The 27,811-nt window shown below is 42.0% G+C and overlaps 2 protein-coding genes across 9 annotated transcripts in view; one reads left to right on the top strand and one right to left on the bottom strand.

Moving 5' to 3' along the window:
- Nucleotides 1-245: 245 nt before the first annotated feature.
- On the top strand, nucleotides 246-20,035 carry CD160 (CD160 molecule). Of its 4 annotated transcripts, NM_007053.4 has the most exons (6): nucleotides 246-306; nucleotides 5,548-5,653; nucleotides 9,003-9,147; nucleotides 11,491-11,817; nucleotides 16,744-16,881; nucleotides 19,233-20,035. In NM_007053.4, exons 3-6 carry the CDS (start codon nucleotides 9,075-9,077, stop codon nucleotides 19,238-19,240), a joined length of 546 nt encoding a protein of 181 aa, NP_008984.1. In that variant the 5' UTR covers nucleotides 246-306; nucleotides 5,548-5,653; nucleotides 9,003-9,074; the 3' UTR covers nucleotides 19,241-20,035. The 4 variants fall into 4 exon arrangements, 3 of the variants coding, with proteins under 3 accessions (NP_008984.1, XP_011507406.1, XP_005272986.1); XM_011509104.3 differs by having other exon boundaries at nucleotides 16,744-19,901; NR_103845.2 differs by lacking the exons at nucleotides 9,003-9,147; nucleotides 11,491-11,817.
- RNF115 (ring finger protein 115) overlaps nucleotides 19,615-27,811 on the bottom strand; it is an 85,228-nt gene continuing 77,031 nt past the window's right edge. For all 5 annotated transcript variants that reach the window (XM_047418027.1, NM_014455.4, XM_047418024.1 and 2 more), the window contains one exon: nucleotides 19,615-27,744. In XM_047418027.1, the coding sequence (XP_047273983.1) occupies nucleotides 27,613-27,744 (132 nt within the window). In that variant the 3' untranslated portion in view covers nucleotides 19,615-27,612. The remainder of the gene's footprint in view (nucleotides 27,745-27,811) is intronic.

Here is a 27,811-nt window from a genome sequence, read left to right on the forward strand (position 1 = left end):
ACCCTAGTCTATTTCTAACACCAAAAAGACAAAACAAGGGAGAGGAAAGGAGAAGGAGATGGAGGACCAGTTGCAGGAGAGAAAGGAGAAAAAAATCCACAGTGGGGGTGGCGGAAGATCTATGACTTCTAACAACCCATTCTGTGGTTTTCAAAGAGCGAATATAATAACAGCTATGAAAGTGTGAGCAATGACGAAACTGGAGAGATAGGGTTTTAACAAGATGCAAGGACAATCTGAGGACTGAGAGCCATTTCAACGTGAGCCCCCAGTCTGAGAACAAGAAAGAAGAACTTCTGTCTCGAGGTAAAAAGGCCTGCTGGGGACCTGGGGTCCAGGTGAAGGGATGGGATGGTTGACAGAACTGCTCAGGTGAGGACAGGCTTCTCATGAGGTCCCTGAGAAACTTGCCTTTTGGAGGGAAATGTCCTCTGCCCTCTGGAGCCTGGGGAGAAGGTTATTTCTGCCCGCCAGACCAGCATGCTCGCTTTTCTTCCATGGGCATTCAGGAATCCTGGCCCCATTCTGACATTCCTCAAATGGAGGAATTCCTCAAATTACCAGAGGAAAGTTACCAAAGTTTAGATCTGCTGGAGCTCTTCAAGGATTGGCCTGAGACAAGCCGGGAGGTGCCACGGGGCTTGGAGCTGGCCCTGTGAGGCACCTCCGGGGGAAGTTCATGTCCTAGGTGGTTCACGTCATGGACCTCTTGGAGGTCCGTGAATAGATTTATTCATGGGATTTGTGAATTGGGGGGAAAAATACATCTTTATTTTCACTAATCTTTAATTGAAAGTCAGCACTTGCTTCAGTTATGAATGTAGACAATGAACCACAATAGAATTTGCCATCAATAGAAAACACAAATATTTTCAAATCTCATTACAGTTTTTATAGATTTCTCCAAATGTCCTTAACGCTCAGCACTACTACAGAATTACAACAGTTATTAGGCTGATGTCAAATCTAAAGAAGCATGTGTACTGCTCTACCACACATTCTTCTAATGTTTTGACAACTGTCTTGTCATAATTTGTTCCCTTTATTATCCCATGTATCTTATTAATTTTTAAATGTTGTTCTGAGAAGGGACTCCATATGCCTTCCCAGACCACCAAAGAGGTCCATGGCGCCTTTATGTCAGGCACCTGCTTTGGTGTGTTGAGCAGGAAGCCTGAGATCTCAGACAAGAGCTTCAAGGGCCCCCCAGCCCAAACCTCTGTCTACTAACAAGTCTGGTTCTACTTTAAGGCAGTTGGGGTTGTGGAGATTGAAAAAGAAGCCCCTTCACAGCTGCAAATGAGATCTTTCTGGGCATCTTTTTCAGTGTCGTGGGAGATCTGTATACAGAGGTATTTGTGGAGCTCAGAGCTGACCTTCCAGCTCCTCTGAGAGGTTAGATCCGGGCTCCGGTGGCAGAGGAAATGGAGACTCTTCCTTGCCCTCTTGTCCCCACCCTCCCCAGAAAACCTCTGGCAAAGCTTTATGTGTCATCTAACCGTCACCACATTCCTATGAGGTAGTTTTAAACACAAGAGGAATGTGAGGCTGAGTGAGGTCCAGCAATGTGCTGGTCACACAAAGCTTGGATTTGAACCCAGGAGTCCACAAGACTCCAGGACCGCCTCCGAAGGTGCGGGAGGGAAGAGTTTCCCGCCGTCTGTGAGCTGTCGCCTGAGAGAGGCACCGAGCCCTGGGGCCACCAGCGCAGCTCAGGAGCCCCGGGGACCATCAAAGATGAGGATGCCAACTCCACGGGCACCCTCCCCCCTGCCCGCGCTGGGGCTCACAACGTTTTAAGAGGGGAGACCCGCCCCTGGCGTGTAGTGGGCCCGGAAAATTCCCAGACTTCTCACGACCACCCGCTCTCCCCTCTGTTGAGGGCCAGGTGCCGCTCTAGTACATGCTGCGTCCCCAGGACCCACCAGGCCCAACTTTGCACCCCCTCATCTCCCCTCCTAGTTTAGACTTTCCCTGGCTAGCCCCCATGCTCGCTGGATGGCCCATGGCTGGAGTGACGCGGGCCAACGCGGGGCAGGTAGGGGGTCACTCGGCTTTGGCTGAAAGGCAGCGCCCTCTAGCGGCCAGAGTGCGAAATCAGCGCCGCCGGCTCCGCGCTGCCCCGCCTGCATCACAACAGGGTGCTCCCCTCCCGGGCACCAAGGTCACTTCCCAGAGCATCCTTGCCCAGTGACCTCGCTGCCCCCCAGCGCTGGTGAGGGGCCCACAACAGACTTACATGCTCTTCTTCAACTCGGCCCTAGGCACCGCGAAGTCTGGCCACTCCAGCGGAGTGACCAGCTGCATCAGCCCCTCCCGCCTGTCCTCTCTCTCCTTGGAAGCGGTCCCTACCCTGCGCCCCTCCCATCCCGCTGCACCAGTCCCTTAGGAAACACGCCTAGAGAAGGGACACGACCTTGTCAACATTCCACAGCTACCTAGTGCGGAGCCAGGACTGGAAGCCAGATCTCCTCAGCCCATTCCCCACCTTAATTCACCCACCGTATTCTTTAGTCACCAGCTCCCGAGAGCCCACAAACAACTATGAAGGCCTAACTTCATTGCCATCTTGCAGCCTTTCCACATCCCTCATCCAGAATTTCTCCTGTGCTGCCCCTTGACACTTTATGACCTTATTACTTAGTACAGTCGTTCTTGTGTTAACAGCTGTTCGTGAATGGATGAGCGGCTGTGAGGAGAGGGACAAAGGGGACTCCAAGAGAAAGACTCTCATAACTTGGGTTAGAGTCCTGCTCCCCAACTTAGGAGCTGTGATTTTAAGCAAGTCACAAGTCCCCTCCAAGCCTCTATATGCTTCGTACAAATAATAAATTTTAGAAAATAATAATGGCTTAGTGTTTTATAAGGACTAAACACAGTCTTGCAGGTAGATGTGCCTGGAACACTGTCCATTGATTCCAATATAAGAAAGCATAAAACTAATCATAGCTATCATTTATTGAGCCCTTACTCTCTGCCAGGCACTGTGCTAAGTAATTTACATAGGTGACCTCATTTGACCCTCACAACCCAAGGAAGAGAATATTTTGTCACCATTTTATAGGTCATTAAGAGATTAAGAAACTTGCCCAATATTACACAGATAGTTAAGTTTCAAAGCCAGATCTGAAACATCCTGGTCTGACTCTAGAGACCATTTAACCACTAAAACGTCCGCCTCTGCTGTGTTAGTGATCTCTCTGTGCCCCATGGTGTCTGACACATTATAGATGCTCCGTGTTTCTGAAATATGTCTATTTATTAAAGGCTGAGCATAGCGCCTGGCCCAGGAGCCTAAGAAACTTGACCGAGTCATGCAACTATTAAGTTTTTTTTGTTTTTATTTTTGTTTTTTCGAGACAGAATCTTGCTCTGTCGCCCAGGCTGGAGTGCAGTAGCGCGATCTCAGCTCACTGCAAGCTCCGCCTCTCGGGCTCACGCCATTCTCCTGCCTCAGCCTCCCGAGTAGCTGGGACTACAGGCGCCCGCCACCACGCCCGGCTAATTTTTTGTATTTTTTTTAGTAGAGATGGGGTTTCACCGTGTTAGCCAGGATGGTCTCGATCTCCTGACCTCGTGATCTGCCCACCTCGGCCTCCCAAAGTGCTGGGATTACAGGCGTGAGACACCGCGCCCGGCGCCACTATTAAGTTTTAGGACCAGGATTTGAACACAAACACTCTGGCTCTAGAGTCTACGCTTTTTAACCATAATTCTGGGCTGAATGAATAATTGCAATCCTTCTTTGTCTTCCTCTTTGAATAAAATGATTTGTCATTTTATTCATTTATCCTCTTTGTCACTTAATATTCCATGTTTCAAGAGTCACCAGGACATTCTGGTGTAGCATGAAGGTATGATAACACAGGAGAAGGAACAAGGAGAGGTCAAGGCTAGGAAAGGACATTGGGGCCATACCATGAGCTGCTGCTGGGATGTTTTATTAGGATTGTGACAAATGTATAGATAAGTACAGAAGAATTTAACAATCGTCTCTACTTAGATTTTCTTTTATGTTCCTTAATAGTACTGTATAGTTTGTATCCTATAGGTCCTATTCGGAATGTTGTTACATTTTTCTGGACATTTGATGGGTTTTTTGGTTGCTATAATGAATGGAACTTTTCCTTCTACCATATTTTCTGACTAATAATTATATCCAGGAAAATTTTTAATCTTATGTATTAATAAGTACCTTATTAAATTGTATGTATATACACTAATTTAGTTTATTGTTTTATACAAACTATAATTACATAACATTCTATTCTGTGGATCTGCAATAATTTATTCAACCATTCTCACCAGTGGGTCTTCACCTGTTTCCTTTTTTTATGGGGGCAGGAAGGCGACAAAGTTTTGCTCTGTTGCCCAGGCTGGAGTGCAGTGGCGTGATCTTGGCTCACTGCAATCTCTGCCTCCCAGGTTCAAGCAATTATCCTGCCTCAGCCTCCTGAGTAGGTGGGATCACAGGCACCTGCTACAACACCCAGCTAATTTTTGCATTTTTAGTAGAGCCAGGGTTTCACCATGTGGGCCAGGCTGGTCTCGAACTCCTGACCTCAGGTGATCCGCACGCCTCCCAAAGTGCTGGGATTACAGGTGTGAGCCACCACACCTGGCCTTCACCTGTTTCTATTTTTTTGGTATTATAAAAAATGCTGCAGTGAATATCCTTGTACATCTATACTAGCACACTCATGCTTTTATTTCTGTAAGCTATAGCCAAAGGGACAGGGTATGTGCATTTGAAATGTTAATATATAATGAGTATTCCCCCAAAGCTCCGTAACAATGTATAGTTCTACCTAGAGTGAATGATTGCACATATTTCTTCTTACCCTTACCAAAATTTGATTTATCTTTTAAATTTTTGTTCACTTAACAGGTGGTAATTCTGAAATTCTGAACTCTGAATTTTTAATTTGTACTTCCCTGAATACTTGTAAAACTGAAAAACTTTTTATTGCATTTCGTCTTTTGTGAACTGCCTATTCAGATACTCTTTTATTGTTTCTAATAATTCTCAATTAAGTTTCTTGGGTTTTCTAGATGTAAGTTATATCACATATAAATAGTAATAAATTTGCCTTAAGATTTCCAATATTTATACCCTTTGCTTTATTTTCTTGTCTAAATATAATGGCAAACACTTTCAGAACAATGTGAAATAACAGAAATAATAGGAAGCATCTCTGCCTTGCTCCTAATATTAATAGAAATTATCCCATATTTTACCATTAAATATGATGCTGCAATTTTATCTGAGATATACATTTCTCCATTATATTGAATAGTATTCATCCATTACCATTTTACTTAGGATTTTAGTGGGAATTAATGTAAGATGTTATCAGAAGGTAATATTGACTTTCTTTTTTATCCAGTAGTATGTTAATTAATAGATTTCCTAATATTAAATCATCCAAGAATTTCTAAAAATGAAACCTTATTCCATTTGTCATGGTGTATTATATTTTTAATATCTTGTATGATTGGTTAATTTGTGTGTGTGTGTAATTTTTGATTTTGGTTTTCTTGAGACAGGGTCTCACTGTCAACCAGGCCAGAGTGCAGTGAAGATCATACCTCACTACATCCGTGAACTCCCGGGCTCCTCCCACCTAAGTCTCTTGAGTAGCTGGGACTTCAGGTACGCACCACCACACGTGGCTAATTTTTGTATTTTTTGTAAAGACATGGTCTCACTTTGCTGCCCAGGCTGGTCTCAAACTCCTGGGCTCAAGTGATCCTCCCACCTCGGCCTCCCAAAGGCTTGGGATTACAGGCGTGAGCCACCGCAACTGGGCCTTTCAATTTTTAAAAATTTAAATATAATATTATAAAACAGAATACAGCAGCACATGAAAAGAATAACATACTAGGCCGGGCGTGGTGGTTCACGCCTGTAATCCCAGCACTTTGGGAGGCCAAGGTGGGTGGATCACAAGGTTAGGAGTTCAAGATCACCCTGGCCAAGATGGTGAAACCCCGTCTCTACTAAAAATACAAAAATTAGCCGAGCGCAGTGGCAGGCGCCTGTAATCCCAGATACTCGGCAGGCGCCTGTAATCCCAGATACTCGGCAGGCTGAGGCAGGAGAATCGCTTGAACCCAGGAGGTGGAAGTTGCAGTAAGCCAAGATCGTGCCACTGCACTCCAGCCTGGGCGACAGAGTGAGACTCTGTCTCAAAAGAAAATAACAACATACTATGACCAAATGGCTTCAGTTTTTGTTTGTTTGTCTGGGACTGCAAAGATGTATCAATTTTAGGAAATCTATTAATGTAGATCGCCATCTTAATATATCTTAAAGAAAAATAATATCATTTTAGTTGATATTTAAAGGCAATTAATAAAACATTCACATCCATCCTTGACATTTTAAAACTCTTAATAAAATAGAAATAAATGTATATTCCTTAACATAATAAAATACATCTCATTCTCAAAGCTACTATAATACTTAATAAGGAAACATTTAAGCATCCCCCATTAAACTTAGAAAAAAGACAGAGATTCATTATTACCATTATTATTTAATATTTTTCTGGAGATATTAACCAACACAATTAGAAGAAAGAAATCAGAGATATAAAATAGAAAAGGAAGTAATTATCATTATGTACACATAATATGATTGCATAACTGGAAAATCCAAGAGAATCAACTGAAAAATGATAGAATTAAGGGAGGGGAGCTGGGTATGAAATTAATATCTAGTAAAACAAATAGCCTTTCATATATGAACAATAATGAAAAATTAAAAGATATAATGAATGATATAAAGAGACTGAAAAAATAAGTTAAAAGATACAACGAGTGGAAACAACAGATGCTGGAGAAGATGTGGAGAAATAGGAATGCTTTTACACTGTTGATGGGAGTGTAAATTAGTTCAACCACTGTGGAAGACAGTGTGGGGATTCCTCAAGGATCTAGAACTAGAAATACCATTTGACCCAGCAATCTCATTACTGGGCATATACCCAAAGGATTATAAATCATTCTACGATAAAGATGCACAAGTATGTTTATTGTGGTACTATTCACAATAGCAAAGCCTGGGAACCAACCCAAATGTCCATCAATGATAGACTGGATTAAGAAAATGTGGCACATATACACCATGGAATACTATGCAGCCATAAAAAAGGATGAGTTCATGTCCTTTGCAGGGACATAGATGAAGCTGGAAACCATCATTCTAAGCAAACTGTCACAAGGACAGGAAACCAAACACTGCATGTTCTCGCTCATAAGTAGGAGTTGAACAATGAGAACACATGAACCCAGGGTGGGGAACATCACACACCGATGACGTTCCACGGGTGGGGGCCCGGGGGAGGGATAGCATTAGGAGAAATACCTAATGTAAATGACAAGTTGATGGGTGCAGCAAACCAACATGAAACATGTACAACTATGTAACAAACCTGCACATTGTGCACATGTACCCTAGAACTTAAAGTATATTAAAAAAAAGATATAATGGGTAAAAGATGACATTTTCAATAGTGAAAAAATATGAATTACTCAAGAAACAAACTTAGCTAAGAAATGGACGAGGACTTTATGAAGAAAACTTCTATACATACCTGAGACACACATATTTGAAAAATGAATATCACATTCTCGGATCAAAAGAATCAATGTCACAACAAATTCAGTTCTCCCTAAGTTAAAATATAAATTGAACATATCCCAATTTTAAAATACCAATAGGACTTTTTCTTGATGGTACACACAGTAGGAAGGGCAAGACTAGACAAGCTGATTATAAAAATCAGAAAAATAAATTTATAGAAAAATTCTTGTTTTCCCCTTTTGAATTTTAAATGCTGTGAATGTAATTACCACTTCAAAAGTTATAAACTACAAAACCTTAAATATATTTTTAAAACACATACACACATAGAGAGGATTTTTTAAAATAAAAATGTATTTATTTTATATACATAATTGCAATTTGCCCTTTTTGACCTAATGCTATATCATGAACATCCCTCCAGGCCCATATTTATAGAAGTATCTCATTCTTTTAATAATATATAATATTTTGTCACATAGATTAATTGAAACTTATTAAACCATTTTCCCTATTGATGAAATTCAAGTGTTTGTTTTTCTTCAGTTTGTTTATTTTGAAACAGGAGTAATTTTTCTTAGCCAGGATTAGAAGATGTAACTATAAAAAGTAAAACAATAAAAATATTGAAAGAAAATTATAGCCTCAATTGGAGGGAAACTTTCCTAAACAATGCAGGAAACCCAGACAACTTAAAGGAAAAGATAGATATGTTGTATTTAATTACATACAATGTAAACTTTCCTTGTGAAAAAAAAGCCTCATAAAAAAAGTGAAGAGACAAACAACAAATTGGGAGAAAGTATTTGCCTAAAAAAATGGCAGATGGGTTAATATCTCTAATACGGAGAAAGTGCCTAAAAGTTAAGAAATGTGAAGAATATGAACACACAATTCACAGACAAGGGAATACTAATGACCAATAAGCATATGAAAAGATCCTCAACTTCACTAATCATGGAAATGCAACATAAAGCAGGTCTAATTTTTCATCCATCAGATTGGCAAAAATGTTAAAGTACAGATAATACCCAGAGCTAGCAAGGGCACGAGGAAATGTACACTATCAAGCATTCTTGGTGAACATCTGATTATCAACAGCCTTTTTGGAGAGCAATCTGATTATAGTAGAAAAAAAGTTTTAATCATCATATTCTTTGACGCAGCAATCCAATTTAACTTAAAAAAATATATATGAGAAAATAGCCTTTAGTGTCTCCCTATGCCCCTCCCTCCCCGGCTCCCAGTGTATCTCACTTGGTTTACCGCCTCACTTCCCAGCCAGCTGGACTCTCATGCCCAAGCCCTCCTCTACCTCCATCATACTCTAGCCAATCAAAGCTAGAGCCTGGGATGGGGAAATGGTCTTGGAACCCTGGAAGGCTTTGTCTAGTGGGTCCCCCTGTGCTTTTAGGAGACTGAAGCCAAGGATACCAGCAGAGCCAACATTTGCTTCAAGTTCCTGGGCCTGCTGACAGCGTGCAGGATGCTGTTGGAACCCGGCAGAGGCTGCTGTGCCCTGGCCATCCTGCTGGCAATTGTGGACATCCAGTCTGGTGGTGAGGATAGACCCTAGAGCAGAGACGGCCATGGGGAGGATCCTGGGCTTGTGGGAAGGGCTGGATCCCGTGATTTTCTCTAGTGGGGAAACAAAGGACTCTTTTTTTTTTTTTTTTTTTTTTGAGGGAGTCTCGCTCTGTCACCCAGGCTGGAGTGCAGTGGCGCGATCTCGGCTCACTGCAACCTCCGCCTCCCATGTTCAAGCAATTCTGCTGGCTCAGCTTCCCGAGTAGCTGGGACTACAGGCTTATGCCGCCACCGCCGGCTAATTTTTGTATTTTTAGTAGAGACGGGGTTTCACCATATTGGTCAGGCTGGCCTCGAACTCTGCCTGACCTCAGGTGATCCTCAGGCGCCCGGCTGACTCACTCTCCTTGACATTAAGGAAAGGGTAAAGAATATATTGTCTTTTTCTTTTTCATTAGAACTGATACTATTGCCTCTCTATCAGACACTCTGTCTCTGCTATATGTTTCAAAGAGCCTGGCAATCTGCGCCTCAACCTAAGATTCCTTTAGGCTCTTATATACTATAAATTTATGAAATCCAGGTTTGAGATCCAGATACTGCAATCTTCATTAACTTCAGCAGCTAGTTTAACCACTCTGTGCCTCAATTTGTGTATTTATAAAATGGGAAGAGTAATACCTGCCCTCTATGGCTATACTGAGGATTTGATATACAGAAAAGCACTCTAACAGAGACCCTATAGAAGTTCCAGCTGGAAAGTAGAAATAAAATATAAACCATTTTGGAGTGAATCAATGGCTGGGATTGCAGGTCTCCCTCAGATATGGGTCTTGGAAGACCCATATCTCTTACTCTTGTAGGAGAATGGCATTCAATATGCAGGGGGCAGCCTCCATCTCTGCCTCTTCACCGTTTTCATGAGAGTGAATTTAGTTTACTATGTATACCAAGGGGAGTCTTAAAAGGAAAAGCAAGTCATAGCGGATCAAGCTGCCAAGGGAGTGGGGGAGGGGGCTGGCAGCCTCAGCATCTGCCGGATGAGTTTTCAGCAGAGAGCTGGATTTAACCGAGGTTGGGGTTTTGCGAGGATCCATCACAGTAGGAGTAAAGCTAAGGGAGCTGAGGGTGGATATAAGGGAGAGATTATAATAATGGACTACAAAATATAAACTACAGAAGGAAGTGAAGTTTGAGGAGAGTGAGGGGCAGTACAAAGTTGGCAGGGCCAATGCATTGCAAAATTAGGTCAGAGACACCCATCGAGCCAAAACATCCTGGGTTAACCCAACTATTTTCTCCACTTCTGTATCCAGGTTACAGATTACTTACAGGGAAAATCAAGTGGGCAGACTGGCACCATCAGAGTCATGGTCTTTGGATATCAATGGTCCCTCAATAATTAGTCTGTTTCTCCAGTCCATTCTCACTCCATTTCCACACAGTGGCTGTTTTTAATCATCTCTGGTATTTCTGTGGTCTCTCTCATCCTATATTTCTTAGAAAAACTTTTACTCATCCTTCAAGTCAGCTCCAGCACTAACTTCACTGTGAAGTTTCCCTGATGCTTCAGACTCAGGAATCTCTAAGATTCCTCAATTATAATAACTGTGGAATTAAATTGTAACTTTTTGCTAATTTGTTTTTACATTAGGCTTTAAACTCTGAGAGTGGCCAGGCACAGTGGTTCATGCCTGTAATCCCAGCAGTTTGGGAGGCAGAGGCAGGAGGGTTGCTTGATGCCTAGAGTTCAAGACTAGCCTGGACAACATAGTGAGAATCTGTCTCTACAAAATAAAAAATTAGCCAGGCATAGTGGTGCATACCTGTAGTGTTAGCTATTCGGAAGGCGGAAGCAGGAGGATTGCTTGAGCCCAGGAGTTCAAAGGTGCAGTGAGTTACGATTGTGCCACTGCCCTCCAGCCTGGGTGACACAGCAAGACCTTGTTTTAAAAAAAAATTTTTTAAATTAAAAATCCCCGGTCATCTAATGGTTAGGGGAAAAAAAAGTTCTGACAGTAGGGCTCACGTCCTAGTCCTCATAGCCCCAGCAGGGCTTGGCAGAGTGAATACCTAAACGTATTTGTTAAGTGGAGGAACAAATAAACCTATGAATTAATGGATGCTTTGAGCATATTATTTAGTCCCTTAATTTTCATTTTCCAGATGAATAAACTACTGCCCAAGGAGTTAGGTAACTTGCTTACAGTCACACAGCCATCGATAGAGCTGGAATTTGTATTTCCTGTCTGCCAGCACTACTGCCAGGTTCTGCTTCAGTCCTTCCTTGAAGACTTCTAGTGATAAGGAGCAGTTACGGTGAAATTCACAGAATGCTACCTGACCTCTGGGTAATTCTTCCCTTTCCATTCCAGGATGCATTAACATCACCAGCTCAGCTTCCCAGGAAGGAACGCGACTAAACTTAATCTGTACTGTATGGCATAAGAAAGAAGAGGCTGAGGGGTTTGTAGTGTTTTTGTGCAAGGACAGGTCTGGAGACTGTTCTCCTGAGACCAGTTTAAAACAGCTGAGACTTAAAAGGGATCCTGGGATAGATGGTGTTGGTGAAATATCATCTCAGTTGATGTTCACCATAAGCCAAGTCACACCGTTGCACAGTGGGACCTACCAGTGTTGTGCCAGAAGCCAGAAGTCAGGTATCCGCCTTCAGGGCCATTTTTTCTCCATTCTATTCACAGGTGAGTGCTCAAATACTCCTAATGCCACCAGGTGGGACAGTGAGCAGGGTTGACAGTGGAGATGTAACCAGATAGTTCAGGTCCTGGAAAGGCAGTTTCCTTCTTCCTCAATCCTTTTCCAACATCCCCATTGGCAGATGCTGCCTTTCTTCAAAGCGCACACACAAACATAATCTCATTTTGTCTTTAATTTTAGAACTCTTACTTGGGGTGGCCATTGCATTTTTACTGACAGGGAGATGGTGACACAGGGGTTGAAGAGACTTGTCCAGTGCTACTCACTGGTGAAAGTAAAAACAGATAGAAATTAGGCTTCCTGGCCAGGCATGGTGGCTCATGCCTGTAATCCCAGCATTTTGGGAGGCTGAGGTAGGCAGATCACCCGAGGTCAGGAGTTAAAGATCAGCCTAGCCAACATGGAGAAACCCTGTCTCTACTAAAAATACAAAATTAGCCGGGTGTGGTGGCGCATGCCTGTAATCCCAGCTACTCAGGAGGCTAAGGCAAGAGAATCGCTTGAACCTGGGAGGCGGAGGTTGCAGTGAGCCGAGATTGTGCCATTGCACTCTATCTTGGGCAACTAGAGCGAAACTGTGTCTCAAAAAAATAAAAAACAAGAAAAGAAAAGAAAGAAATTAGGCCTCCTGATTCCCAATTCAGAACTCTCCCAGAAATGTGGCTATATTTCTAAATTCAGGCAGACAACGAGATTAGGTTTGAGATAATATGGGTGTCTGTCTTAAGGAGCATTTAGTTGGAGGAAACAGAAACCAATTCAAAGTACCATAGATTAAAGGAGGAAAAAATAAAAAAGTACAGCTGGCCCTCATGAGTTCTAGCTCCTGGAATCAGAAACTAGAAAGGGGACAGGACGCAAAACAGTTACCGTTTCAAACTGTGAGGCAGCAAGGCCTCTGGCTTCTGCATCTGTCTTTCACTCTATGCATGCTCCCCCTGCTCCATTACTACTTTGGCATATCCTAAATATGGCCACTCCAGCCCCAGCTTTAAGTGGCTTCCTTAAGTCAAATTGTGCCCAACAGAAAGTGTCTCTCTGTGTAACTATATTCCTAGACAATAGAGCAAGCCTTCAAAATTCTGTGGGAAAAAAAAAATTTACCTAGAATTATATATTCAGCCAAACTATAAACCAAATGTAAGGAAAGAAAAAAGACACTATCATGAGATGCAATGACTCAAAAAAATTTGCCTTCCATGTGATCTTTTCAAAGAAGCTACCAGAGGATGTGCTTCAGTAAAACAAGAAAGTGAATCCATAAAGGGGATAAAATGACATACAGGAAACAAGGAGTCTAACAAGGAAGTTCTAGGCTGGACACAGTGGCTCATGCCAGCACTTTTGGAGGCCAAGGTGGGAGGATCACTTGAGCCCAGGAGTTAGAGATAAGCCTGGGCAACACAGGGAGACACCATCTCTAGTGGAAAAGAAAAAAAAAAGGAAATTCAAGAATTAAAAAAGGGCAGTTAGTCCAGAAGAGAGCAAGAGAAAGACGACTCTGGAAGGGAGATCTCTAGGAGGTAAAAATGGAATCGACATATCATCTTTCTAAAGGCCCATTAAAGACCCAATAAAAAGATTAAAGAAATGGATATGGAAAACTCTGCCAGTAAAAAAATAAAATCAGGCTCTAGAAAAAACTAAATTTTACAAAAGAAACATAGCGCACAACTTGATTTTGCAAAAAATAACACAGAATCCAAATTATGTAAACATGACTAATTTAAATAAAATTTGTGGTACAATTATTTTTAGAAGAATGCAGAGAAGGAAAATGGGTGAAAGTATAATCCTCATCTACTATATTCTAGCACATCTTCATCTACTGTAGCAGAAAGCCAATAGAAAATGTCTAAATTTTATCACTAGGAAGCAGCAATATGAGCATATTATTTAGGAATATAATAAGACATCTCGAAGAGTTGACAGTGGTTGTCTCAGACAATAAGCCTAGGAGGACAAAAGGGCACTGCTATTATTCTCTATGAACTTTTACAACTATCTTACTTCTCCATGAACTTACAACTATCTTACTTTTTTTTTTCTTTTTCTTTGATTTTTTGAGACAGACTCTCACTCTGTGGTCCGGGCTGGAGAGCAGTGGCGTGATCTCTGCTCACTGCAACCTCCACCTCCAAGGTTCAAGTGATTCTCCTGCCTCAGCCGCCCAAATAGCTGGGACTACAGGCACACGCCACCACCCATCCAACTAATTTTTTTTGTATTTTTAGTTGAGACGGGGTTTTGCCATGACGGCCAGGCTGGTCTCAAACTCCTGACCTCAGGTGATCTATCCGCCTCAGCCTAGCCAAAGTGCTGGGATTACAGGTGTGAGCCACCGTGCCTGGCCTATCTTACTTTTTAAGAAAAACAAGTATAAATTACCCACTCACCACCCTCCCCCCATGAAAAACTGGCCCAGAGCCTTTGAACAAATGTTTCTAATCACCTCCTATGGTTCCTAGTTAATTCAAATTTTCAACTTGTTTAGTTTGACTGACTTTGTTCCTTGCTTCCTGGTGTCTTCCTGTCTGACCTAGCTATAGCATTCAGCACTTCTGACTATTCCCTCCTTCATCAAACTGTCATCTCCAGTGGCTTCTGTGACTGTACTCCCCTGGCTGTTCTACCCACCTGGCTGTTCTTTTGTCTTCTCTATTTCCTCCTCCCACCTCTCAAACATGAGTATTCCCCAAGACTCACTTCTCACCCCTTCAACCTTTTCTCTTTACTCTCTCTCCCTAGTTCTCATCTACCCACGATTTAAACCAGCATCTCCCTGCAACTGACCAGCAAATCAACTTCTCCAGCTTGAACACCTTTCCTAAGTTTTAATTAAACGTTTAAACTAAAAACTGTACTCCTAGCTCCTGGATGTCCCACCATTTCCTCAAACTCAGTATCAAAGCTATCCTCCTGAGACCCTATTTCTGTTCATGACGGAGTCAACTTTGGTTCCTCCTTTTTTCTTAACCCCCAATTCAGAGAGTTACTAAGTACTGCTGTTCTTCCGCACAGCAGTACTTAGTGGGGAAGAATAGCAGTACTTTGTTATTCCTTTCCTTCCAAAGGTGTTTTTCAGGTCTTCATCACCTCACACTTAACATATTCCTATAGTCTCCTAACTAGTGAGTCCCTTGAGTTCAGCAACTGTGCCCTAGTCACCTTTGTATCTCCCACACCTACCACAGGGCCTAGCACTGAGCTGTTGCCTAATGGTCCAGCAACTCTAAATACTGTTTCTGCCTCCAATCCATTCTACATACTACCACCAGCTTGTCTTTCCAAAATGCTAATTTGTACATGCCACATCACTCAAAGTTTTAATGGCTTCTCACTGTCTATGGAATAAAGTCTAAATTACATTAGCCTGGCACTAGAGACTCTATAGCATTTCATTCTATTTATGTGAATACATTGCTTCAGTTAAACTGCACTAGTGGATACTCCTCTTTCATTCATCTAACAAATATGTATTGTGCATCCCAGGCCCAGCGCTATGCCTTGGAGAACAGAATGAGGTATAACACAGTCCTTGCTCCTTATAACCTAAATCCTGTTCTCCTAATATATTGTTTTAGTTGTGAAGATTCTCCCTAAGGAAGAATGCTTTTCTCATCTTCTCAGCATATTTAAGTATTAGAGTCAGCACATCTAGATGGTTCCCCAAGTGTGGAAATTAGGTGCATTTTGGAAGGTAAAACTAGTTAAGAAGAGACAGGTAATAAACAATGTCAGGGTGGGTGGTGGCTCACGCCTGTAATCCCAGCACTTCAGGAGGCTGAGGCTGGCAGATCATTTGAGATCAGGAGTTCGAGACAAGCCTGGCCAACATGGTGAAACCCTGTCTCTACTAAAAATACAAAAAATAGCCGAGTGTGGTAGCACGCACCTGTAATCCCAGCTACTTGGGAGGCTGAGGCAGGAGAATCACTTGAACCCGGGAAGCAGAGGTTGCAGTGAGCCGAGATTGCGCCACTGCACTCGAGCCTGGGCGACAGAGCCAGACTCTGTCTCAAAAAAAGAAATAATAAAATAAAATAAAAAACAATGTCTGCCATTTACTGAGTGCTTACTGTGGGCCAGGCATTGTGCTAAGTGATATTATATTATTTAATCTCCATGGTCTTTTGAGCTATTGTCCTGTGATAACTCAAGCTTGAAGATAATTTATGTTCATCCAACAGTAAATGATGGATAAAAATCCAGATCTAGTCCAGGTGCAGTGTCTCATGCCTGTAACCCCAGCACTTAGGGAGGCCAAGGCAGGTGCATCACTTGAACCCAGGAGTTCGAGACCAGCCTGGGCAACACAGTGAAAACCTGTCTCTACAAAAAATACAAAAATTGGCTGGGCGTGGTGGCACATGCCTGTAGTCCCAGCTACTAGGGAAGCTGAGGTGGGAGGATCGATTGGGCTCGGGGCATGAGGCTGCAGTGACCCATGATCATGCCACTGTACTCTAGCCTGGATGACAGAGCAAGACCCTGTCTCAAAAAAACAAAAACAAAACAAACAAACAAACAAAAAAAACCCAGATCTATTCCAAAAGGGCAAGATTTTAACTTATGCTAGATTGCTTGAACCACTCTAGAAAATGGGGCTATTTGGGGATACCCAAGTCCAAGGCGACTAAGCTGTTTCAGCTATCTCTGTGGCAAAACTTTAGAATTACTTTAAGATCTATCTGCATCCCTAGTGTCTGACACACAGGAGATTCTATACTTATTTATGGCTGCCTAAGTACATCATCATTACCCACAATGTTAAAAATACTTATTTGGGCAACGAATTACAGAGGGAGGAATCCTTGGAGATCATAAAAGAGATGTTATGAGATGATGCAAAAGGAGATACTGATGATTTCTGAAACCCTCCCCTGATCCATGATTCTCTTTTGAACCAGAGACAGGGAACTACACAGTGACGGGATTGAAACAAAGACAACACCTTGAGTTCAGCCATAATGAAGGCACTCTCAGTTCAGGCTTCCTACAAGAAAAGGTCTGGGTAATGCTGGTCACCAGCCTTGTGGCCCTTCAAGGTATGTCCAAAAGAGCCGTAAGCACCCCAAGCAATGAGGGTGCTATTATATTTCTGCCACCTTGGTTATTCTCCAGGAGGAGAAGGTTGGAAAGGATGTCCAGGGGGAGAGAAAAATGTTACTCAAGCCCTGGCTATCCACAGGAAAGTTCAAACCAGTTTCACTGATCCAAAGGCACTAAGGAGGAAGACAGATAAATCAGACTTTTCAATGGGTAGGAGGTAAGACTCATTAGGAATGAAGGCCTGTGAGAGAGGCAAGTTAGTACAACTACCTCTACTCACTGCATGAACAGAGGGCTACAAGTTGAAGCAACAGATTTTCAGCTATTAGAGGAAGAAAAGGCAAGAGACAGACTTGGTTTGGAGATGGGTTTTGAACAATGCGGCTCCTCAGCAAAGGCTGATGGCCAGATTGAGTATATTAAACACATGTAGCTGAGTCCTCTGAAAACCATTTACCAATATAGATTAGCGTTTTCCCTATTAGATAACAAAAAGTGAAACTTCCAATAATTTGTCATAACGTTTTTGCATAACAAGCAACTGATTCAGGTTTTTGCCTGGCCTTGGCATTCTTAACTCCATTTTATTTAGGCATTCCTCAAATCAATAACTACCACTGTTTTGAATGGCATCAGAATGTAAGCTCTATATATATGTAAGGACTTTGTCTTCTTTACCCCAACGAAAAGTCCCACACATATGGCAGGCTCTTAATAAATTTGTTAAAAAACCTGTATGATGAATCAGATGCTTTACACATGATGATTCTAACCTTATACAACCCTTGCAAGCAAACATCCCCTGGTTACTCATCAGGAAACAGACACAAGGAAGTTAAATAGGGCCTGGTGCGGTGGCTCACGCCTGTAATCCCAGCACTTTGGGAGGCCAAGGCAGGCAGATCCTTTGAGCCTAGGAGTTTGAGGCCAGTCTGGGCAACATGGCAAAACCCCAACTATACAAAAAAATACAAAAATTAGGCATGGTGGCACACAACTGTAGTCCCAAGCTAAGGCATGAGGATCACCTGAGCCCAGGCTGGTTGAGGTTGCAGTGAGCCATGATCATGCCACTGTACTCCAGCCTGGGTGACAGGGTGAGACACTTTCTCAAAGGAAAAAAAAAAAAAAAAAGAGTTAATTGTTGCCCGTCACAGCAATTAATACAGATCCTTCTCACTCTAAAACCTTACACTCAGTAATGATCTACTATATGCAAAGCACCTCTTACATCCTTCACCACCCCATTCATTCTGAGATTGACTCCTCCCCTTTCCAGAAACAGGACCACCTAAACATTCCCTATTCCAGTCCCTTATTTGCAAGTCATCAAAAGAAAACAGAGATTTCAAAAAGAAAACAGAGACCTTATCTGTAATCCTTGGTAAGGATCTTCCAAATTTAAGCCTATGCCAGTTTTCAGGAGGAAACATGAATATGAAACAGTCTGACCTTTAGACATAATTTTTTGTTGACTTTAAATTCCCTTGGTTAGGCCACTGTAACCAGTAAAATAAATTTTATTTTAGAATAAAAATTATAAAGGGGAAATTGAGTCTAGCCATACAACCTACTACTAGTTACTATCTTTGATTCCCAAGTCATCCTAGAGCAAAAAAAAAAAAAAAAAAATCATCTCTGGCCTTTTTTTCCTTTTCCACTCAGGTGAAGAGAATGAGCTTTTGAATCCAATTTTTTGTTTTCTCCTATATTCAATTCAAGTAGCTTTAAAGTTAACCAAAGGAAAAAACCAAAGCTCAATATTTGATTAAACGAGAAAATATACACTACTTAGAAGCTTTCTTTTCTTTATCCTTCTTCCCCAACTCAAGGCTTAGTAGAATTATTGAAAGAGGTAGTATTCAGTAGAATAGTACACATGCTTTTTCAGGTCCAGAAACACCACATAGGTCAAGTTATCATGCTTACATGTGGGGAAAAGGAGGAGGGAGTTTCCTGGACCTCTGTGCCTCTCTCAGCTCATGAACTAGTTTCAGTGAATATCCTTGTCTTACCACTGTGCCAACAATTCAGAGCTATACGTGGAAAACCTACCTTCAACTTTTTGAGTGGCATCTATTGCTTCTTTGATTGTTCCTTCCAGCAAGGAGCGATCAAAGGCTAGCCCCCTTCCCACTCCCACCAGAATCAGATTTGCTCAAGATTACAACCCTAATTTAGTAATAAGATGCAATACATAAAATAGTTCCCACTTTCCTTTTCCAATCCCTTTACAGTCATGAGGGCCTATCACGCACGCATCTCAGGACAGGTGAGACTTCATTATATCAGGTATTTTGTTGCTATTCTAAGTTATAAGGCAGTAATACAAACTTTCTTTCCACAGCTTTGTAAGCCTTGTGCCAAAAGAAACTTTTAAAACAGCTACAGCAAGATGAGTCTGACTATGGCTTAGTATCTTTCTCATTACAATAGGCACAGAGAAGAATGCAACAGGGCACAGGGGAAGAGATGCTAAATATACCAAGAATCTGTGGAAATATAAGCTGGGGCAAATCAGTGTAATCCTTGACTTTGCTCCTCACCATCAGGGCAAACTTGCCTTCTTCCCTCCTAAGCTCCAGTAAATAAACAGAACAGCTTTCACCAAAGTGGGTAGTATAGTCCTCAAATATCGGATAAATATATGCGTTTTTGTACCCCAGAAAAACTTTTCCTCCCTCTTCATCAACATAGTAAAATAAGTCAAACAAAATGAGAACACCAAATTTTGGGGGAATAAATTTTTATTTAACACTGCAAAGGAAAGAGAGAGAAAACAAGCAAAGATAGGTAGGACAGAAAGGAAGACAGCCAGATCCAGTGATTGACTTGGCATGAAAATGAGAAAATGCAGACAGACCTCAACATTCAACAACATCCATACAGCACTGCTGGAGGAAGAGGAAGATTTGTGCAGACCAAGAGCACCACAGACTACAACTGCCCAGCTTCATCTAAATACTTGTTAACCTCTTTGGTCATTTCTCTTTTTAAATAAATGCCCATAGCAGTATTTGGAGTCTTTTCTTTTCTCCTAAATCCACAAACTCTCTTCTTTCTCTTTGGACAGATGACCTCTTGTCATAGTTAAGCAGAGAGTGGGCAGGATATTCCTGATAGGAGGAACTACATGAATAAAGGGGTAAGAGCACAGAAATTTAGCTACAGCTCCATGGTGAGCCATTAAAAGGAAAGAGACACTTTACCTGTGCTCCTTGGCAAGGACCTGCCAAATGTGGGAGCTAAGGTTTGTGGGAACGGAAAGAGATATGGCTGAAGTAGATGAGTAAGACTCTTATTAGTGATAGTCTTGAACCTCAAACTAAGGATTTTAGACTGTATCCCATGGAGATAAAAGGACTAGCCATGGAGGCAAAAAGACCTGGATTCAAATTCTGGCTCTGCAACATACCAGCTATTTGTCATTGGGCAAATGAATTTTTTTTTTTTTTTTTTGAGACGGAGTCTCACTCTGTTGCCCAGGCTGGAGTGCAGTGGCATGATCTCAGCTCACTGCAACCTCCACCTCCCGGGTTCAAGCAATTCTCCTGCCTCAGTCTCCCAAGTAGCTGGGATTACAGGCATGCACCACCATGCCTGGCTAATTTTTGTGTTTTTGGTAGAGACGGGGTTTCACCATGTTGGCCAGGCTGGTCTCAAACTCCTGACCTCAAGTGATCCACCCGCCTCAGCCTCCCAAAGTGCTGGGATTACAGGCGTGAGCCACCTCACCCAGTGCAAATGAGGTTTTGAGATGCTATTTCTGTTTACCTATCTGTAAAAAGGGATATTGCCTATTGTATCTTCTCTTTCCACAGAATTGTTCTGAGAATCAAAATGAGAGTCTGGATTTGGGACCTAGAGCCATTTGAGTTCTGACTCCAAAGTCTCCAAAGCTTTCTCCACTACATCACATTCATCTTAATCTTTCTCTACCTGTTTTAAATAGTTAGTTCTGTGTTTCTAACTAAATAATAAACTCACATAGGTAGAGATGTCTTTTGTTTTTACTATTCAAATAATCTTCTGGAGCTACTCAACATTATACAATCACTGGAAGTCTCAGAAGATATATCCAACTATAGGAAAAGTTTCAGCCATTGTACTATACTAATTATAGTCCACATATAAAAATCTGTGACACATAATCACAGAAAGGAAACATCACTGCCCAAGTTTATGAAGACATTTAAGAGCATCAGATTACTAGCTCTGACTCAAACTAAGCGGAATATATACAAAGCAATCCCACTTTGTACATACCAACTGAGTCTTGCTTCTAAAGAGTTTATTTACTCTGCTTATCTCGAGACTTGGTTAAACAGAAACTTAAAATACTTGTGTCTTGGCTTTCAAAATGTGTTGATACAATTGCCTTCAAATAAGCCTACAAATTTTCATGCATAATAGGTGGTTTTCTGGACACGCATCTTAGCCCCAATCTGTATGAGTGATTCACAAACACGGGTTTTGAACCTGTGAGGCCATGAGGTTATCAGAAGGAATCTATATACCATAATCTTCAGCCTGAATAAATATCTTTCAAATATTTGTATATATTTCAATTGGATGTAGATTCTGGTGTGACTAATAAATTAACTTAAAAGCATTACTGAAATCATAGCAGCTTTTTGTTATGTATTCTTTAATCAAAAATACTAATAATATGGCTATCAAGTTGTTGGAAGGGAATCTAATAATTTGGGGGTTTTTGTTTTGAGACAGGGTCTCTCTCTGTTGCCCTGGAGTGCAGTGGCACAATCTTGGCTCACTACAACCTCTGCCTCCTTGGTTCAAACGATTCTCCCTCCTCAGCCTCCCAAGTAGCTGGGACTACAGGTGCATGCCACCACACCTGGCTAATTTTTGTATTTTTAGTAGACATGGTGTTTTATTGTGCTGCCCAGGCTGGTCTCAAACTCCTGACCTCAAGTGATCTGCCTGCCTCAGCCTTCCAAAATGCTGAGATTACAGGCATGAGCCACAATGCCCAGCCAAGAATCTAATAATTTTTGGATCTTGAAAATTGTATTTCTTATTAGAAAAAGTAAAGAATCACAGGCTTACATCCTATGATCACAGATCTAAGTGTTCTGGTTGAAAGAGGAAGAAGAGGCAACATACAAACTACACTTCTGTGGACACCAAGTGTAGTGTGGCAGGAAAACATAAAGTTTGCATGTATAAAACCTTAAAAGTTGAATGCCTACAATGTACTTGTCTGTGGCAGGTATGAGAGATCGAAACCTTACAATGTCAATGGGATCAGACAAGGGCTCTATTTTGATCCTGGAAAGCATCACCAGCTGTATACATTGTATTCTATGCATTCTATTTTAAACCCCTGGAGCAGCTCAGTGGCTCGCTGGCTGAATACTGAGACACTGACATTACTGCAGGCTAGGATTTCCCCCTATAGGACAGCCACTTGTGATACTTACCCCATCAAAGTTTTCCTCCATCTTACTGTGACAGAACCTACATGAGATTCATTCGGGAAATTCTCAACAAGAGGACTCTATCCTATAAGTCGTCCCCAATCCCCAGATCTCCAATGGATTATTCTTGTAAACAGCACTTTTACCTTCCGATCGCTCTACCACAGAGGCCAAAAAGGGTTTTCCCCTAACATCCAAATACCTATTCAGATACCAGCCCTGCTCCTTCTCTTAAAATCTGTCTTCTCACCTGGGCGTGGTGGCTAATGCCTGTAATCCCAGCACTTTGGGATGCTGAGGTCGGTGATCACTTGACATCAGGAGTTCGAGACCAGCCTGGGCAACATGGCAAAACCCCATCTCTACTAAAAATACAAAAATTAGCTGGGCATGGTGGCACGTGCCTGTAATCCCAGCTACTTGGGAGGCTGAGGCAAGAGAATCGCTTGAACCCAGGAGCGGGAGGTTGCAGTGACCTGAGATCACGCCACTGCACTCCAGCCTGGGCGAAAGAGTGAGATTGTGTCTCAAAAAAATAAAAATGTGTCTTCCACTTCTTAAACCCCAAAGCTGTTTTGTTGTTGTTGTCATTTAAAACAGACACAGACTATGCTTCCCTCCTGATTTATTAAGACCGACATATTTAATTTGCATTTCTTGAGGGAATAGCACCTGGAAACCAGGGAGAAAGAAGCTGAAGCATGCAGGTCATGAATTATTCAATTTGGTGTCAATAATTTGTCAGAAAAATTAAAAAAAATCAATAGATAACCGTATTGTAGTTCAACTGATTATAATATAGAAGCAACGGATAATGAACACCCTTTCCTCAAAGTCATTTATTCTCAACCTTTGGAAATGATTACGTTTTTACCTCCAGTGAATCCCTTCATCACAGAGAATAACAGGGTACCAGCCCAAGCCAACAGTGCCCCATACCAGAGAACTCAGGGAAACAAAGACCCTAAAGGTTATGTACAATGAGAGAATCAGACTGTGAGGCTCCAGCTCTCTTCTGTATCCCTGCTCACTTTACCTCAGTGCACACCATATCCCTTCTTCCTCCATTGTGAAATGTGCATACACGTGTTTGTCTGTGAATATATAAATATCTCTATTTACACATATATACATATATAAAAATGTGCAATACAAAGACATAAGCAAGGAGTTTTTCCTAATAACTATTTAATCAGAGACTGATTGGAGAAAAAACAAGTTCTTCCCCTCAAATTTTCCTTCTAACTTGAGAACCAATTCCTGGACCAATTCCTGCTCAAAGAAAACATTTAAGAAGCACCTGTCGGCTGGGAGTGCTAGCTCACACCTGTAATCCCAGCACTTTGGGAGGCCGAGGCGGGTGGTCACTTGAGGTCAGGAGTTTGAAAACAGCCTGACCAACATGGTGAACCACTTCTCATAGAGACACATTATTAACTTGGTGAAACTTAATTGGGATGAGGAGCACTCTGTATACATGTATCATTTCTGTTTTTCCTCATTGTGATGGTTAATCTTATGTGTCAACTTGACTAGGCCACATGATGCCCAGATATTTGGTCATACAGTATTCTGGGTGTGTCTGTGAAGGTGTTTTTGGAAGAGACTAACATTTCAGTCAGTAGACTGAATACAGCACATGGCCCTCCCTAATGTAAGTGGCCCTCATCCAATCAGTTGAAGGTCTGAATAGAACAAGTAAGGGAGAAGTCCTCCTGCCTGACTGCTTGAACTAAGACCTCAGTCTTTTCCTGCCTCTGAACTGGAACAGAAACATCAGCTCTTCTAGGGTATCCAAGCTGGCCTTCAGACTGGAACTACACCATCAGCTCTCCTGGATCTCTAGCTGGCCCACTGCAGATCTTGGGATTTCTCAAACTCCATTATTGTGTGAACCAATTCCTTATAATAAATCTCAGGCTGGGCATGGTGGCTCCCGTCTGTAATCCCAGCACTTTGGGAGGCCACGACTGGCAGATCACCTGAGGTCTAGAGTTCAAGACCAGCCTGGCCAACAAGGTAAAACCTTGTCTCTACTAAACATATAAAAAATTAGCTGGGCATGGTGGCAGGTGCCTGTAATCCCAGCTGCTTGGGAGGCTAAGGCAGAAGAATCGCTGGAACCCAGGAGGTGGAGGTTGCAGTGAGCTGAGATTGCACCACTGCACTCCAGCCTAGGCGACAGAGCAAGCCTCCATCTCAAAAAATAAATAAATAAATAAATAAATAAATAAATAATAATAATAATAATAATAAATCCCTGAAGAATCCTAACTCCTCAACATAAATTAACCTGGACATCTGAGGTGCCTGCCATTATAAGAAGAAACACAACAGATCCATTAAGTGGGACAGGTCTGGGAAACAGTAAAATGAGTCTCACATCCTCTATCCACCAGAGCAAAAAAAGTGAAGAAAACTTCATGTAACTTTGTCTGATGCTGTTTGCTATACTGTGTATAAAAAGGCAGACCCCTATCCAGTACTTTGTTTCCACCCTTTTTAAAGGTACTCAGATCCTTTCTAGTTCTCTAGGCATTGGTTCTCTATCTGTACGTAAAACTACAACTGCCTGTCCTGGCATCTCCAGACACTGACAAGCAAATATGTCCAGGCTGTCATGATTTTTCTGAGACAACTGATATTGTGTACTTGAAAACTGCAATGTGTCCCAAGTTCAACATAGCCTTCCTCCATCTAAGTAGTGGCCAAATATTCATAATACACCTCTAATTTCCTTCCATCCTCCTCCCCAATTCAAAACCAGTGTGTATTCTCAAGCTACATTTCAGGGGCAACGCACAGTAAGTAGATCTCATTCCCCAAATAAACAATCACTACAGAGGTGTAATATGGGAGGTATATGAAAAAACATATTTTATTCCCTCTGGGCCCAAATGAATCATACTTTCTGGTCACAACTTTTAGAGGCAGGCTATTATTTCAGCAGGCCACTCTCTCACTTTTTCTGTTCCCTCTCTGACTCCTTCATCCTTTACCAAAGTACAGAGAAACGTTATCTCTAGCCCCCTTCCGTCACCCACAAATCAGCGTATGATAGTCAACAAAAACTGAGGAAAGACTTCTAGCCAAGAAAAAGACCCATTAAAGAGTGGTGTTTTTGTTCTGATCATTCTAAACTGATCATTCTGATCATTGTTGTGTGACAATACAAATGGTGCCCCTCTGTACCTTTTTTTGGTACACCAACAGTTGTTCTATGTCCCCATCATTTCCTTTTGAGACCTTGAAGTTTCAACAACATTCTTGACCTTCTTAATTTATCCAATGTTAAACACTTGAATGCTACAAAGAGCATGTGCATGGGACACTACTAGGCTGAAAAAATAAGGCCTACCTCTTCCAGGCCAAGCTGTTTTGGACATGATCACACTGATCAGTTTGAGTCCAAGTATAGCCAGAACCAAGGAGAAAAGGAAAGTTTCAGAGATGAAAAATAGGCTTAAAAATTAAAATGTGACAATGTAAAATCTTAACTCCTGAAGACCAATGAATTACCAAAAACAGTGAACTGGCTGCAGACACTTACTGTCTCTATTTCTGTGAGGCAAATTATTTTAAGATTACTAGGAAAAAAGACAGTAAACAATGAGTTGAGCACTTTGAGAGGTTGAGGCAGGCAGATCACTTGAGCCCAGGAGTTTGAGACCAGCCTGGGCAACACGGCAAAACCCTATCTCTACAAAAATACAAAAATTACCCAGGCATGGTGGCACACGCCTGTAGTCCCAGCCACTTGGTAGGCTGAGGTGGGAGGATCACTTGAGCCTGGGAGGTCGAGGCTGTGGTGAGCTGAGATCGTGCCACTGCACTCCAGCCTAGGCGACAGAAACAAACAAAAAAAGCAGTGAGTTGGGGATTTTTTTTTTTTTTTTGAGATGGAGTTTCGCTCTTGTTGCCCAGACTGGAGTGCATTGGTATGATCCGGCTCACCGCAACCTCCACCTCCTGGGTTCAAGCGATTCTCCCACCTCAGCCTCATGAGTAGCTGGGATTACAGGCATGCACCACCACGCCCAGCTAATTTTATATTTTTAGTAGAGACAAGGTTTTACCTTGTTGGCCAGGCTGGTCTTGATCTCTTGACCTTGTGATCCGCCTGCCTCGGCCTCCCAAAGTGCTGGGATTACAGGCGTGAGCCACCGCGCCCAGCGGTAATCATTTTTTAAAATCTCAGAAGCAAAGGTCTCAAACATCTGTCTTTCTGTGCCTGTATGCTGCCCAACTCATTCCCAAAAAGGAATGGGAATCAGATTCCTATCAACATAAGGCTCCCAATATATGTTATGTAGGTTTCTTGGGAAACTGCATCAACTGAAGTAGTCTTTAAAAATTAAAATAAGAGGCCAGGCGCAGTGGCTCACGCCTGTAATCCCAGCACTTTGGGAGGCTGAGGCAGGCGGAGCACAAGGTCAGGAGATTGAGACCATCCTGGCTAACACGGTGAAACCCCATCTCTACTAAATATACAAAAAATTAGCTGGGCATGGTAACAAATGCCTGTGGTCCCAGCTACTCCGGAGGCTGAGGTAGGAGAATCGCTTGAACTCAGGAGGCAGAGTTTGCAATGAGCCAAGATCGTGCCACTGCACTTCAGCCTAGGCGACAGAGCGAGACTCCATCTCAAAAAAAAAAAACAAAAAAAATTAAAATAAGAAAACCAAAGCACACAATGATAAACCACTTTTCTCTTCTTGCTGTAATTTTTCTTTGATTTGCTCTCTGGGGATCAAGACAAAACAAAATCATTAGTCTTAGATACCTGAATTTGACCTCGCCTCATAGCTAATGTGATCAAGAGTAGTTTTTTTTTTTTTTAAATACAATTAAGACAAAAGGACTTTATATCAGCAGGACTTTAGGGCTGTGGTTCCACTGTTTTTATAGTAAAATACACTAATGGTGGGGTAGAGGTTGGAGAAGGAGGTGGAAACATCCGTTACAAGGCAACATGACAGACAGCAGGACCCTAACTAGACTTTAAGGAATTAATTCTATTCAGACGGGGGGAGCCCTACATAATTAAGTTTCACACTTATAAAATTATCACTCTGAATTCAGGGATAAGAGGCATTTGGTTGTAGATACAATTCCATCTGTAGATACTAACTTTAAATTTAAAGAAGAAAAACATTCATTGCATTTATATTATGTGTTGAGTTTCTTACATATTCCTAAATCCATCTACTAATTTTTTGTTTTGATACAATTTACAGCTATGGTAAGATGATTACCACAGCCCTGATTCAGGTGTGGTCTTTAGCTTCAGAAAGTCCATCGGTCATGTAGCTGACTGTCATTGCTAAATCTGTTGCTTGCAGAGGCCTCAGTGCTCTGGCTTTGCCGAGTAGAGTCCTCACCATTTAAGCTCTTCCTACATACAGGACATGTGTCATGCTGAAACAGAAAAATATTAGTCTATGTGAAGATCCTGGCCTGAGAAGCTGGGAGTATTGTACACTTA

This window comes from Homo sapiens, chromosome 1, assembly GCF_000001405.40.
Source record: "Homo sapiens chromosome 1, GRCh38.p14 Primary Assembly".
Taxonomy (NCBI): Eukaryota; Metazoa; Chordata; class Mammalia; order Primates; family Hominidae; genus Homo; species Homo sapiens.